Source organism: Homo sapiens, chromosome 9 (genome assembly GCF_000001405.40).
Source record: "Homo sapiens chromosome 9, GRCh38.p14 Primary Assembly".
Classification (NCBI taxonomy): domain Eukaryota; kingdom Metazoa; phylum Chordata; class Mammalia; order Primates; family Hominidae; genus Homo; species Homo sapiens.
In genome coordinates this window covers 96,915,456-96,928,124 of record NC_000009.12, presented here as the reverse complement: position 1 = coordinate 96,928,124, position 12,669 = coordinate 96,915,456, and the positions used below count along the sequence as shown (strand labels likewise).

The 12,669-nt window shown below is 45.9% G+C and overlaps 1 protein-coding gene and 1 pseudogene across 1 annotated transcript in view, besides 3 other annotated features; one reads left to right on the top strand and one right to left on the bottom strand.

Moving 5' to 3' along the window:
• ZNF782 (zinc finger protein 782) overlaps positions 1–12,669 on the top strand; it is a 117,643-nt gene that overhangs the window by 5,682 nt on the left and 99,292 nt on the right. Inside the window, exon 2 of the mRNA XM_047422874.1 lies at positions 9,299–9,482. The gene's annotated coding sequence lies outside the window, so the exon portion shown is untranslated. The remainder of the gene's footprint in view (positions 1–9,298; positions 9,483–12,669) is intronic.
• Positions 3,031–3,574: an enhancer, noted in NCBI's record as "H3K27ac-H3K4me1 hESC enhancer chr9:99686833-99687376 (GRCh37/hg19 assembly coordinates)". NCBI's record gives its function as "activates a minimal SCP1, AML or CMV promoter by ChIP-STARR-seq in primed H9 embryonic stem cells {active_cell/tissue: H9 hESC(primed)}" and the evidence as "EXISTENCE:reporter gene assay evidence [ECO:0000049][PMID:30033119]".
• On the bottom strand, positions 8,734–12,059 carry PNRC2P3 (PNRC2 pseudogene 3; annotated as a pseudogene).
• Positions 9,007–9,525: an enhancer, noted in NCBI's record as "NANOG hESC enhancer chr9:99680882-99681400 (GRCh37/hg19 assembly coordinates)". NCBI's record gives its function as "activates a minimal SCP1, AML or CMV promoter by ChIP-STARR-seq in naive H9 embryonic stem cells {active_cell/tissue: H9 hESC(naive)}" and the evidence as "EXISTENCE:reporter gene assay evidence [ECO:0000049][PMID:30033119]".
• Positions 9,813–10,312: an enhancer, noted in NCBI's record as "H3K27ac hESC enhancer chr9:99680095-99680594 (GRCh37/hg19 assembly coordinates)". NCBI's record gives its function as "activates a minimal SCP1, AML or CMV promoter by ChIP-STARR-seq in primed H9 embryonic stem cells {active_cell/tissue: H9 hESC(primed)}" and the evidence as "EXISTENCE:reporter gene assay evidence [ECO:0000049][PMID:30033119]".

Below are 12,669 nucleotides of genomic sequence, written 5' to 3'. Positions count from 1 at the left end.
GACCAGCCTTCCTCCCACCTCTTTTCTCTGGCCACCACATTTTCTTTCCTGGAGGAAATAGGTGTTACCTGATTCTTTTTCATCTTTCCAGAGATATATTATGCAATCAAAAGCATAATGAAGCTATTTTTGCTGTCTAAAAATATTTTCAGTTTTTTGGGGGTAAAAATTAATATATTAATATGTTCTAGTATTCTTCTGATATTTGCAGTGACTGTATTTGTCCCAGTAATGTGGTTCCTCTCTTTATTTCTGTAGGTAAATTGCTAGAATGAGATGTTGGACTGTTTTTTAAAATTAAAAATACATGAAAGAACATAGTGGCCAGATTTAGCAAGTATGAATAAAGAATACCAAGTGGAATTTGAATTGAAGATAAACAGTGAATTAGTTTTTACTATAATTATGATCCATATGACATTTACAGTACACTTTTACAAAAAAAATCTGTCCTTTATCTGTGCTATTCACATTTCACTGGGATCTTGCACTTTATCTGGTAACTCTTCCCAAAAAAGTGTAACATATTAGGCAATTATTGTTAACTCTCCACTGTGAGAGTGCAAACTTGCAGTAAGGAGACTCAAGTGTGAATCTTGGCTGCACCACAAAAAGATTCTGCACCACAACCATTGCAGAAAACAATAGCAGGCTGATTTGATGAAAGGAAGTCAGGAGTAGCCATTATACTGTTCTCAGCTTCCAGGTTTAGTGGCAGTACGCACAGTTTTAAGGGACAGGAGAGCAGAACACCGTCTTTTTCTTTCCTAACATAAAGTGGCTTACAATTCCTAGAACTCTGGTTTCTCCAGGAGTTAGAAATCCACAACCCACGTCCATTCTGAGACAAGCAAGGATGCTAACCACCAATGTCCCATCCCCATTCTCATGCATCCCCTCGCATGTGTGAATCCTGGCTGGAGTCTCTCAGCTCATTGCTGTCCTCATCTTCATCACAAGTGTCATCACATGTGGTTCTCAGCATGGGAATTATTGTAGCCTGTCTTTAAAAAAATCTTCATTCTCATTTTCACACAGAATTGCTGTTTATCAGCGTCAGAATGACAGGAAAGAGCACTCATGTTCTGTGTTGTGAACAAGGGGAGTGTTAGGAAACTGGCCAAAGGAGATGAGGAGTGAGTACTCAGAGCACAGCAAGAAAATCTGAGACACAGATGTCACTCCCTGCTGGGCAGCAGTCTTTTGCACTGATGGGTGGGTGTTGGGGAAGGGAAGAGGCCTTCAGCCGGACCAGTGCACACTGTGAACATTCACTGAAACACACCCTGTTGGCACTTAAGAAGCATTTGCCCCTTTCGAAGACATTTGGACTCAAGAAGGCAGAGTTGCAGAAAACGTAACAGGCCACACTGCAGGGGCAGGCAGTGGATTGCAAGTCTCAAGCCCAGGGTTCTCCCCTCCTTGCCTGGGTTGTGGGAAAAAGTCATTTCCTAACTCCTATCCAATATCCTCATGAGTTCTCGGTTTTGTCCCAACTCTAAAACTGAATGGTCCAGCGAGCATTTCTATGAAATGCCTCCACAGTGGCCACTGGGAGGGGAGTGTCCTCCACACAGTGACTGCCTGTCTGGATGCTCCCAGGCCTTTTGTCCTCCGAGACAGAGCTGCCTCCTTACATGCAGCCCTCTTCTGCTGTGCAACTCTACCTCGATCTTAGCTGAGAAGATCAACGGAGAGCAATTCAAGCAAAATCATGGTAAACTTACCAAAACCAAACCAAACAAACAGTAAATGCTTTGGAGATCTTTCTGAGGACGCGATCTTTTATCACGGGGCAAAAACTTAAATGATTTTCAATCAGTAACTTCATCTAAGAGGGATGTTGAGGCAAAATATCACACTCAGGCACTGAAGAAGGGCAGAATTCTTGTTTGCTTCCTCCCTTGTCAAGTTAGTCAGTCAATGCTTTCTCAAGATGCTCACACATGGCTTTGATACAGGATTTGAATGAGTCTTTTTCTGAGCCACTGATACAAAAAGTATATTGTGGAAGTGTCTTGTTTCAATTCTGCAATCGCTTCTGTATGTGTTTGAAGTCCTAGACCCCAGGAGGAGAGACAATCAAATTAGCCAAAGGTAATTTGTGAAGACTGGCCATAGAAGGTGGTGGCTAAAAGTCCTCTGGCCCCTGCTCTCTGAGCATGCCCACAGAAAGTCCTGGGCCACACTGACTGCTGAGAAACATCATCTCAGGGCTTGGATCCCCTGTTCAGAGGACAGATGCTCTTCCACCCAATCACTGAACAGTAGAGGAATGGCGGCTCCATGCTGTGTCTGGCAGAGCTGTCAGTCTCTGCACTTGAGGCCCTAGGCCGTCATAGACGTGAAGGCTCTTCAGCGTCATCATGTGGAGACAGACGGTAGGAATCCTGCAAATGAGCAGAAAGGATCTGATGATGAAAGTTTGTTCTGAAGCTACTACAAACTCAAGTCAGTGAGTTGCTTCTGTACCAGTTTTTTTTTTTTTTTTTTTTTGAGATAGAGTCTTGCTCCCACCTTGAAGTGCAGTGGTGTGATCTCCTCTCACTGCAGCCTCCGCCTCCTGGGTTCAAGCAATTCTGCCTCAGCCTCCCAAGTAACTGGGACTACAAGTGCGCGCCACCACGCCTGGCTAATTTTTGTATTTTTGGTAGAGACGGGATTGCACCATATTGGCCAGGCTGGTCTCGAACCCCCGACCTCAGGTGATCCACCCGCCTCGGCCTCCAAAAGTGCTGGGATTACAGGCGTGAGCCACCGCGCCCGGTCAGACTCTCTCGTTTCTAGGAGGGACGGTCTTGGAGGCTCCAAGGAGAAGGCGTCGCCTGGCCCCAGGAAGCGCCCTGGTGAGGCGTCCCTCCATTTCCCCATCTCCTGCGGGGCCCTCCCAGGGCGGGCTCCACGCCTGCCCCGCGCGCCTGTGTAGGAGCCTCGAGGCGGGCGGGGTTCCAGCGCGCAGCCGGCCGCCCTCAACCGCTCCCAGCATCGGTTGCCGGTGGTTCGGGGCAGGGAGACGACGCAGCGCGAGCGGAAAGGGCGGTTACCCAACGGCCTTAGCTCTCATGGCGTCCTCCGTGGTGTTACCTAAAAATAAAGTTATTTGTGATTAGAAGGTAATCGCCTCCTGGTCATGCTTCCGCTGGTCACCAGTGTCTGCGGGGCGACCCCATCCTTGTGGCCAGAGAGGGCCTGTGGCTGCGCTCAAGGCGGGAGCGGTCCTTAGCGGGGCCCTGCGGGACGCCCAGGCCGCGCTCCTTTCCCTTGCTCACCTGGCCTTGAAGTGAAGGGGGAGGTTTAACAATGCAGTGGGAACCCCAAAGTTTGTCTCGGCCGTGCTGCTCACATTCCAAACAATGCAAAAGGTTGCGGAAAACCTCAGCAGTTGAAACCGTGATGCATTTCAGCAAAGAAGTAGCTCCTGTCCTCGTAAAATCAGTGAAGTTCTCACGGACGACCTCATTGAGTGAGTTGTGAAGCTTGTTGCCTTAATCAGAATGATCAGCCAGCATGCATGCTCTAATATGCTCGTTTGTCAATGATATGAGCAGCTGCAAAGTGGAAGAAGAGGCCTTTACTCATAGTCTGTTCACTTGGTAGCACAAGTTGGTTGTGGAAGCAAGAGTGTGGCCAAAGTCAAGAAAAGCTTCTATGAGAATCGCTTACTTATGTGGAATTTAAATAAAAAGTAGTGTATATTATTATTTGTAAATTGTAGACTACACATGTATTATATCTAAAATTTACTGCACACACGTGTGTGTCCTGGGCAGTTGGTCAGTGTGTGTACTTGAGAATGTGAGAAAGATTTGTTTTGCATTTTGGGGGGTGTGAGATTTGTGGGGGTGGCTGTGTGTATGTGAAAATGTGTTTATATGAATGCTTAGTTTGGAATTTGTTGCGTATTTAATTCGTGAGAATCTAATATGTATTCACCTGTGTGGGTTGGTGGTGTCTGTGTGGAGATTGCAGATTAAAGAAGGTCATAATTGGGCTGGGCATGGTGGCTCATGCCTGTAATCCCAGCACTTTGGGAGGCTGAGGTGGGCGGATCACTTCAGGTCAGGAGTTCAAGACCAGCCTGGCCAACTTGGCGAAACGCCATCTGTACTAAAAATACAAAAATTAGCCAGGCGTGGTGGCATGCACTTGTAGTCCCAGCTACTCGGGAGGATGAGACAGGAGAATTGCTTGAACCCAGGAGGCAGAGGCTGCAGTGAGAGGAGATCACGCCACTGCACTTCAAGGCAGGAGCGAGACTCCATCTCAAAAAAAAAAAGGAAAAGTAAAGAAGGTCATTCATAACTATTCATAACTGCTTTTGTGAGAGTGTGTAGGTGTGAGTGTTTATATTTGGAGGATATGAGGTGTAATATGTGTATACAAGAAGAATTGGGGTTCGATATTTGTGATTTGGGTTGTGAAGATGTATTTTCCATAAGTTTTCTGAAATGAATGTTGGGGATTTGTATTTGTCTAATGTTTGGCAGATCTGGAAGAATTACCTTGTTGTGCATGTGGGCAATAATAGAGAAAGTGCTTGTGTCTATTTTTGTGGATGTACACTGTGGTTTACATATTTGGGGAATGTAGGAAGACCATTTGTGTGCTTAGGATATGTTGCATCATTGTGTGTGTTTCTTTTCACGATTTTCAGGGGTTGTGTATGGCCATTTCAATGTGTGAGGGCAGATCCATGACTATTGGGGGACTGGTAGAATGAATGTGTGCAGTTGTGAGGTGGACTTTGTATGATTCTGTGTCTTGGAAAATGGAGGAGTTACTTCTGTGTGAGCATTTAGAGGTGTGATTACATATGTGCAGGTATTGTGGGACTGGATGTGTATTTGGGGATATGAGGTGGCATGTTTGCATATTTGTGGCGTGTTAGCTAATCGCAGGTATACTTAGGGCATGCAGGGAACTCCATGAGTATTGAGTGTGTGTGTGTGTTCAAGGGCATGGCAGTTTGGATGAATGTTTTGTGGAGCTATGTGCTTGTATTTTTCAGTGAGTGGTTATTAGGGTTATATATTCTGGGAATGTAGTATATGTGTCTCTGATAGAGAGATGGGGTTCTGTGTTTATACAGGAGAGTGAGAGAATTGAATTTATATGTATTAGAGGTATGTGATATGGTTATTGGTTAGTACTTGGCGATGTGAGAGACACTCCCCTCGTTTACAAAGCAGTGCCCAGCTGGTTTGTGCGAGTGGAGAATATGGTGGACCGGTTCCTAAGGAACAGTGACCTGTGCTACCGGTGAGCAGTAAGATGTGTTTCTTCGTAATGTCTTTTGTCATGTGGTTAGTGTGGTTTACACTTCCCCCAAGTTATAATTTTTTTTTTTTTTTGAGACGGAGTCTCGCTCTGTCGCCCAGGCTGGAGTGCAGTGGCGTGATCTCGGCTCACTGCAAACTCCGCCTCCCGGGTTCACGCCATTCTCCTGCCTCAGCCTCCCGAGTAGCTGGGACTACAGGCACCTGCCACCAGGCCCGGCTATTTTTTTGGATTTTTTTAGTAGAGACGAGGTTTCACCGTGTTATCCAGGATGGTCTCGATCTCCTGACCTCGTGATCCGCCTGCCTCGGCCTCCCAAAGTGCTGGGATTACAGGCGTGAGCCACCGTGCCTGGCCTTCTTTAGATAATTTGAACCAGTTTATAACAAAAATTTTAAAATAGACTACAACTAAGTAGAAGACAGACCACGACATAGAAAGTAGAATGAAGTTAAAATTCTGGGCTAATACAATTATGCTGGCTAAACATCGTTAGAAGCAACAAGGTATAACAGAGAATGTAGATTTTGAAGTCAAACACATTTGTTCACCCCTTCCTTACTGTATAATGTTGAGGAGTTGCTTAATTTCTGAGATGTAACATCCTCCTCCACAAAATGATGTAACAATTATGTTGTAGAGTGTTGTGAGAATTAAATAAAATGACATTATATGTATTCTGGATGATACTTAATCTATTTTCTTTCCTTTAAGCTGTTGTTTGAGATAAAAGGGAGACAGAATTATGCAAATTTTGTTGTTGAATATAGGCTTTGTTTCCGTGATTCTTGGAAGTGTGGTTCCTGGACCATCAGCATCAGCATCACCTGGGAAGCAGTTAAAAATGCAAATTATCAGCCGGGTGCAGTGGCTCACACCTGTAATCCCAGCACTTTGGGAGGCCAAGGCGGGTGGATCATGAGGTCAGGAGTTTGAGACCAGCCTAGCCAACATGGTGAAACCCCGTCTCTACTAAAAATACGAAAATTAGCTGGGCGTGGTTGTGGGCGCCTGTGATCCCAGCTAGTTGGGAGGCTGAGGCAGGAGAATTGCTTGAACCTGGGAGGCAGAGGTTGCAGTGAGCCAAGATTGTGCCACTGCACTCCAATCCAGCCTGGGTGACAGAGCGAGACTCCATCTAAAAAAAAAAATAGAGATGGGGTTTCACTATGTTGGCAAGGCTGGTCTCAAACTCCTGACCTCAAGTGATCTGCCCGCCTTGGCCTCCCAAAGTGCTGGGATTAGAGGTGTGAGCCACTGTGCCTGGCAACAGACTTTAGTTTAAGATAAAGTTCTTTTTTTTGTTTGTGTTTTTGAGACGGAGTCTGGCTCTGTTGCCCATGCTAGAGTGTAGTGGCGTGATCTCGGCTCTCTGCAACCTCTGCCTCCCGGGTTCAAGCAATTCTCCTGCCTCAGCCTCCCGAGTAGCTGGGACTATAGGCATGTGCCACCATGTCTGGCTAATTTTTGTATTTTTAGTAGAGACAGGCTTTCACCGTGTTAGCCAGGATGGTCTCGATCTCCTGACCTCGTGATCTGCCCGCCTCAGCCTCCCAAAGTGCTGGGATTACATACAGGCGTGAGCCACCACACTCGGCCAGAATAAAGTGATTTAAAAAAAAAAAAATTATTTTGGACCTTTAAAATTAGACCATACTATAAAAAAAAAAAGTCCACACTCTTTTATGTTCAGCAAATTCATACTAAAATATTCTGTTTTTGTAGGATAAAGGCCAAGAAAACTTTACATATGCTACAAGTTTATTACATGTATTTACATGGCTCTTTCTTCCCTAGTTACTTAAAACTTTCACATTATACAACTCTCCAAAGCAAGCTTCCTCTCCCCAAGGCAAGCTTTGCAGAAATGATGAGGTCGTATTACTATCAGAATAGCTTAGGCAGTGCCATAATATAAAAATGTTTTGTTTTTGAGATGGAGTCTCGCTCTGTTGCCTGGGCTGGAGTGCAGTAGCGAGATCTTGGCTCACTGCAATCTCTGCCTCCTGGGTTCAAGCGATTCTCCTCCCTCAGCCTCCTGAGTAAGCTGGGATTACAGGCATGTGCCACTGTGCCTGGCTAATTTTTGTATTTTTAGTAGAGATGGGGTTTCATCATGTTGGTCAGGCTGGTCTCGAACTCCTGACCCTGGATCCGCCTGCCTCGGCCTCCCAAAGTGCTGGGATTACAGGCGTGAGCCACTGTGCCCAGCCATAAAAATGTATTTTGAAAGCTATTGAGTGACCGTTAAATGATGTTTTATTTTTTTAAAAATGGTTTTGGGCTGGGCGCGGTGGCTCACGCCTGTAATCCCAGCATTTTGGGAGGCCGAGGCGGGCGGATCATGAGGTCAGGAGATCGAAACCATCCTGGCTAACATGGTGAAACCCCGTCTCTACTAAAAATACAAAAAATTAGCCGGGCATGGTGGTGGGCGCCTGTAGTCCCAGCTACTCGGGAGGCTGAGGCAGGAGAATGGCATGAACCCAGGAGGCAGAGCTTGCAGAGAGCAGAGATCGTGCCCCTGCACTCCAGCCTGGGCAACAGAGGGAGACTCCATCTCAAAAAAAAAAAAAAAAGGTTTTGGTGTATTTGTTGGCAGACACCTATCCACTGCATTTAGAGAAAGGGACATTGGGGTATACTCTGCCTCGTTCTAATAAACCCCAAGTGCCCTTTCCAGTTTCACCACTGTACTAAAATACAACTATTAGGAAAACTTCACATTTTCTTTTGGCAGTGCATCAGGTTGTTGGCATATTACTGGTTTGAGTGCTTCTAGTATACTGAACTTTCAGAAGTTTACCTACTTCTTAATCCTGTGTCTTAGCTAGATGTTTACAATCTGATTCACTTTCAGCAATCTATTATCCATGAATAATAATCTTATATTACTATTTTCCCCCAACATTCAGTAGAAAAAGTTGATGCCCTTGCTAGTCCCCAAATCTAAACTTGAATGGTTTCACTTAAAAGTTACTCATTTGAGGCTGGGTGTAGTGGCGCATGCCTGTGATCTCAGCACTCTGGGAGGCCAAGGCAGGCGGATCACTTGAGGTCAGGAGTTTGAGACCAGGCCAACATGGTGAAACCCCGTCTCTACAAAAAATATAAAAATTAGCTGGGCGTAGTGGTACACGCCTTTAATCCCAGCGACTCAGGAGGCTGAGGCAGGAGAATCGCCTGAACCCAGGAGGCAGAGGTTGCAGTGAGCCAAGATTGCACCACTGCACTTCTGCCTGGGTGACAGAGCAAGACTCTGTCTCAAAAAAAAAAAAAAAACTCATTTGAGAACCCTTAATAATTAGTACAATTATTAATTTAGTTACTTTAAGTTGCACTGATGCTATCATTACATCACAGTGCACCCAACACATAAAACAAATGAGATGAAGTCAATTTTATTTTTTATACTAATTAACAGTTCTACACTAATACATTAATCCCTTGGTGTATTTGTTTTAGACCAGTTGACAACTATCTGTAAACATAGCTAAATGTAAACATTAGTACTTTATCTTATTTTGTACCTGTACTTTAAGTAAGGTTTTAAGTTAAAATGTCATTATTGCCTTATCGGAAGAATTAAAGGAAACAGCTTGGTGGTTTGGGAAGAACACTTGGTGATGGAGGTTCACTACATTTGGCCCTGGCAAAGTTCTGATTAGCTTGAGATTTAAAAAGTAAGCTGGGACCTGAAAAGTTCAGAGTTCCAATTTTGATTTTTTGGAAAATTTTTGTTCTTTCCCCCGTCTTGCATGGCCTGCCCTGCAGCTGCTGATGAGTTATATCCCTGTCTTCTTTCTTTTTTCTTATGAAGAATCTTCATTGGGGGATTCTGACTCTTGGTCTGTTAAGCTGTTGTTGATTCTACTAACATTTCTAGGTTGAGGGGCTGGAATGTTACACCTCTCTCTACCACTTGTCTTCAGTTTCTTTATCACTTGTCCTCTTTCTTAGTGTCAAGTTCAGGACAATAGGTGTTGCTTTCTGACAGATCCTTTCCTTTGTCTCAATACAGAAGTTTTCATGGGCTGAGCTGCTGAGTTCAGCCTGGGAACTGAGGCCAACAAGGGAGTCTCCTCGGCACACAAGTTTGAAAGAAGTCCTGGTGACTTCAAGCTCAGAACCATGGACGGCAGGGCTCCCTCTGGATGTGGAATTCTCCGTCCCTTTCCAGGGAGGGAACAAAGCCCACAGCACCGGTGAGTGAACTGCTGACCACCCCCGCAATTTAAAACATATCCTTTTGTCTCTTATCTTTGCAAAAATAACACGGCATAAAATTTATTCCTAGCAGCCAGCTACCTAGAGATACCACTTTCCTGTCTCTGCCCATCCATATTATGTCTCCCTGTTTTCTTCTGAAGCCCGCCAAAACCTGTTTTGTAAACTGCTTTCTCCTTACTCAATATATAGTGGGCTTTTTTTTTTTTTTTGAGATGGAGCCTCCCTCTGTTGCCCAGCTGGAGTGCAGTGGTATGATCCCAGCTGACTGCAACCTCCGCCTCCGGAGTTGAAGCAATTCTCCCCCCTCAGCTTCCCAAGCTTCCCAAGTAGCTGGGACTACAGGCACAGGCCACCTCGCCCAGCTAATTTTTGTATCTTTAGTACAGACAGGCTTTCACCATGTTGGCCAGGCTGGCGTTGAACTCCTGACTCAAGTTATCCACCTGCCTCGGCCTCCCAAAGTGCTGGGATTATAAGCGTGAGCCACCGCACCTGGCCTATAGTGAGCATTTTCTGTCAATCATAAATATTCTCCCATAAAATGACTTTAAATGTGCGCAATAAATTCTACCAAAAGGCTGGGTGTGGTGGCCCATACGTACAATCCCAGCACTTCAGGAGACCGAGGCGCAAGGGTGGCTTCAGCCCAGGAGTTCAAGACCAGCCTGGGCAACACAGACCCCCATCTACACACACACACACACACACACACACACACACACACACACACGCCAAGGGTGGTGGTATGAATCTGTAATCCCAGCTACTCAGGAAGCTGAGGCAGGAGGATTGGTTGATTCCAGGAACTGGAGACTGTAGTGAGTCATGATCATGCCACTGTGCTGCATTCTGGGCAAAGAGTGAGACCCTGTCTAAAAAAAAATTTCTGGTCGGGCACGGTGGCTCATGCTTGTGATCCCAGCACTTTGGGAGGCTGAGGCGGGTGGATCATGAGGTCAGGAGTTTGAGACCAGCCTGGCCAACACAGTGAAACTCCGTCTCTACTAAAAATACAAAAAATAGCTGGGCGTGGTGGTGGGCGCCTGTAATCCCAGCTACTTGGGAGGCTAAGGTAGGAGAATCACTTGAACCCGGGAGGCAGAGGTTGCAGTGAGCCGAGATTGCACCACTGCACTCCAGCCCAGGTCACAGAGCTAGACTCTGTCTCAAAAAAAAAAAGTTTTACTAAACGAATTTCCATGATTTAGAATCAGTCGCCTATTGTTAGTTATTTATGTAGCTTCCAATTTTTCTACCACAAATAGCCTTGCTAAACATCCCTGAAAATTAACGTATGCATATATCCTGGATTGTTTTTCATTTGAATACATTTCTAGATGCGAATGAATGAGACCAAATGTAGGTAAGAAATGGAAAGGTTTAGGTGGGCCCGGGTGCGCTGACAGCAGCACCACAACAGCTCAGTGACAACACAGTGGCGGGGACCTCATCAGCGCCCAGTCCTTTCTTGATTTACCGCGTTGCTTCCTCCCTCTTCTCCCTAGTAATTATTATTCAGAGCTTCCCAGAATAAAGCCGGGGCCCTGATTTTACCTAGACAAACAGTGCCACAGGTTTCCCCGACGGAAAGACTGAACCCAGCAGAGAGAAGCGGGTGAGGGTGGGAGTTCCAGAAGGGAAGGGGCACAGGTGGGGCCTGGATCCAGATTATGGATGGATGCCCCTCCCAGGTAGCACCCAGGCCCAGCCCTGCCCCTCCCATGCATGGGAGTAGCAGGAGGTTGTGATAGTGGCCCTGACAACAGGTAGCCGGCCCTCTTTTATGCCATTGACCATGGAGTGCTGTAGTCTCTGTCTTCCTTCTTTCTCCTCACCCTCCCTTGCCCCACACCTTTGGCCCTCCTCCCTTCCCCCTTCACCAGGTCTAGGTGAGTGGGATGAGCCCAGCCTCCGCAAAGGCCTCGGGCTGGGGAGCCGCTGCACACCGCAGGCATCTAGCTATAGGAGTGTCCAGGTTGCAGCTTGGGACCAGCCCTTGGAGGAAGAAGTCTAACTCAGTGCTCTTTACCTGCACACTGTAATGGGGTGACTGGTTTCTTTTGGTGGTGTTTTTCTTTTTGACGGAAGGCGTTCCGGATATCAGAAAGAACTTCTTTTTTTTTTTCCCAGAGACAGAGTCTTACTCTGCCATCCAGGCTGGAGTACAGTGGCACAATCTCAGCTCACTGCAAATCCGCCTTCCAGGTTCAAGTGATTCTTATGCCTTAGCCTCCTGAGTAGTTGGGACTACAGGTGTGCGCCATCATGCCTGGCTAATTTTTGTACTTTTTGTGGAGACAGGGTTCACCATGTTGGCCAGACTGGTCTCGAACTCCTGGCCTCAAGTGATCCGCCCGCCTTAGTCTCCAAAGTGCTGGGATTACAGGCGTGAGCCATTGCGCCAGGCCAGAAAGGAGTTCTTGGGACAAGACATCAAAACCAGCTGTTAGCCAGTTCCCCTATCCTTGCTTTCTGTTTCACTGGTTGTTCAGGGAGTGAAGAGACGAAGCTTTAAGTGCAAGTATGATGCAGGTCACTCACTTACCTGGCATTTCGTGATGTTTTTTCCTTATTCACTTTCCCTAAGTCTGATTCTCCTGTTTATATCCTTCACTGCTGTATAAACTTCTCCAATGCAAGGGACCAGCTCTTACATTTCTTATGTTGTTTCCTAGATAGATAGATGGATACCTATAGATATATATAATATAAATAATATATGATACATATTTGTATATATTGAATATATATTTTTTAATATATGACATGCCCACTTGTATACTACTGCTTGGGCAAGAGAGATAGCTAGGAGTAAAACAGCAGTTGTCCTACGTGGCAGTCAGCTGCTTCTCCTGCTCACTGCCACATGAATCATCACTAATGGGAATGTCCCCTGAGCACTACTGAGAACTGGGGGGATATATGGTTCGATACTTTACCTGGATTACTGCCCTTCACCTGGCTGAATGCCACCTCCTTAAGTCTCAGCTTAACTTTCACTTCCTCTGGGAAAGTAGTTCTGATTTTCCCCCACAAAACTAGAAAACATAAGTCCACAGGAATCCCACTGTTGAATGAACTAAGGAAAATGGGTGATTTTTAGTAGAGACGGGGTTTCACCATGTTGGCCAGGCTGGTCTCGAACTCTTGACCTCAGGTGAT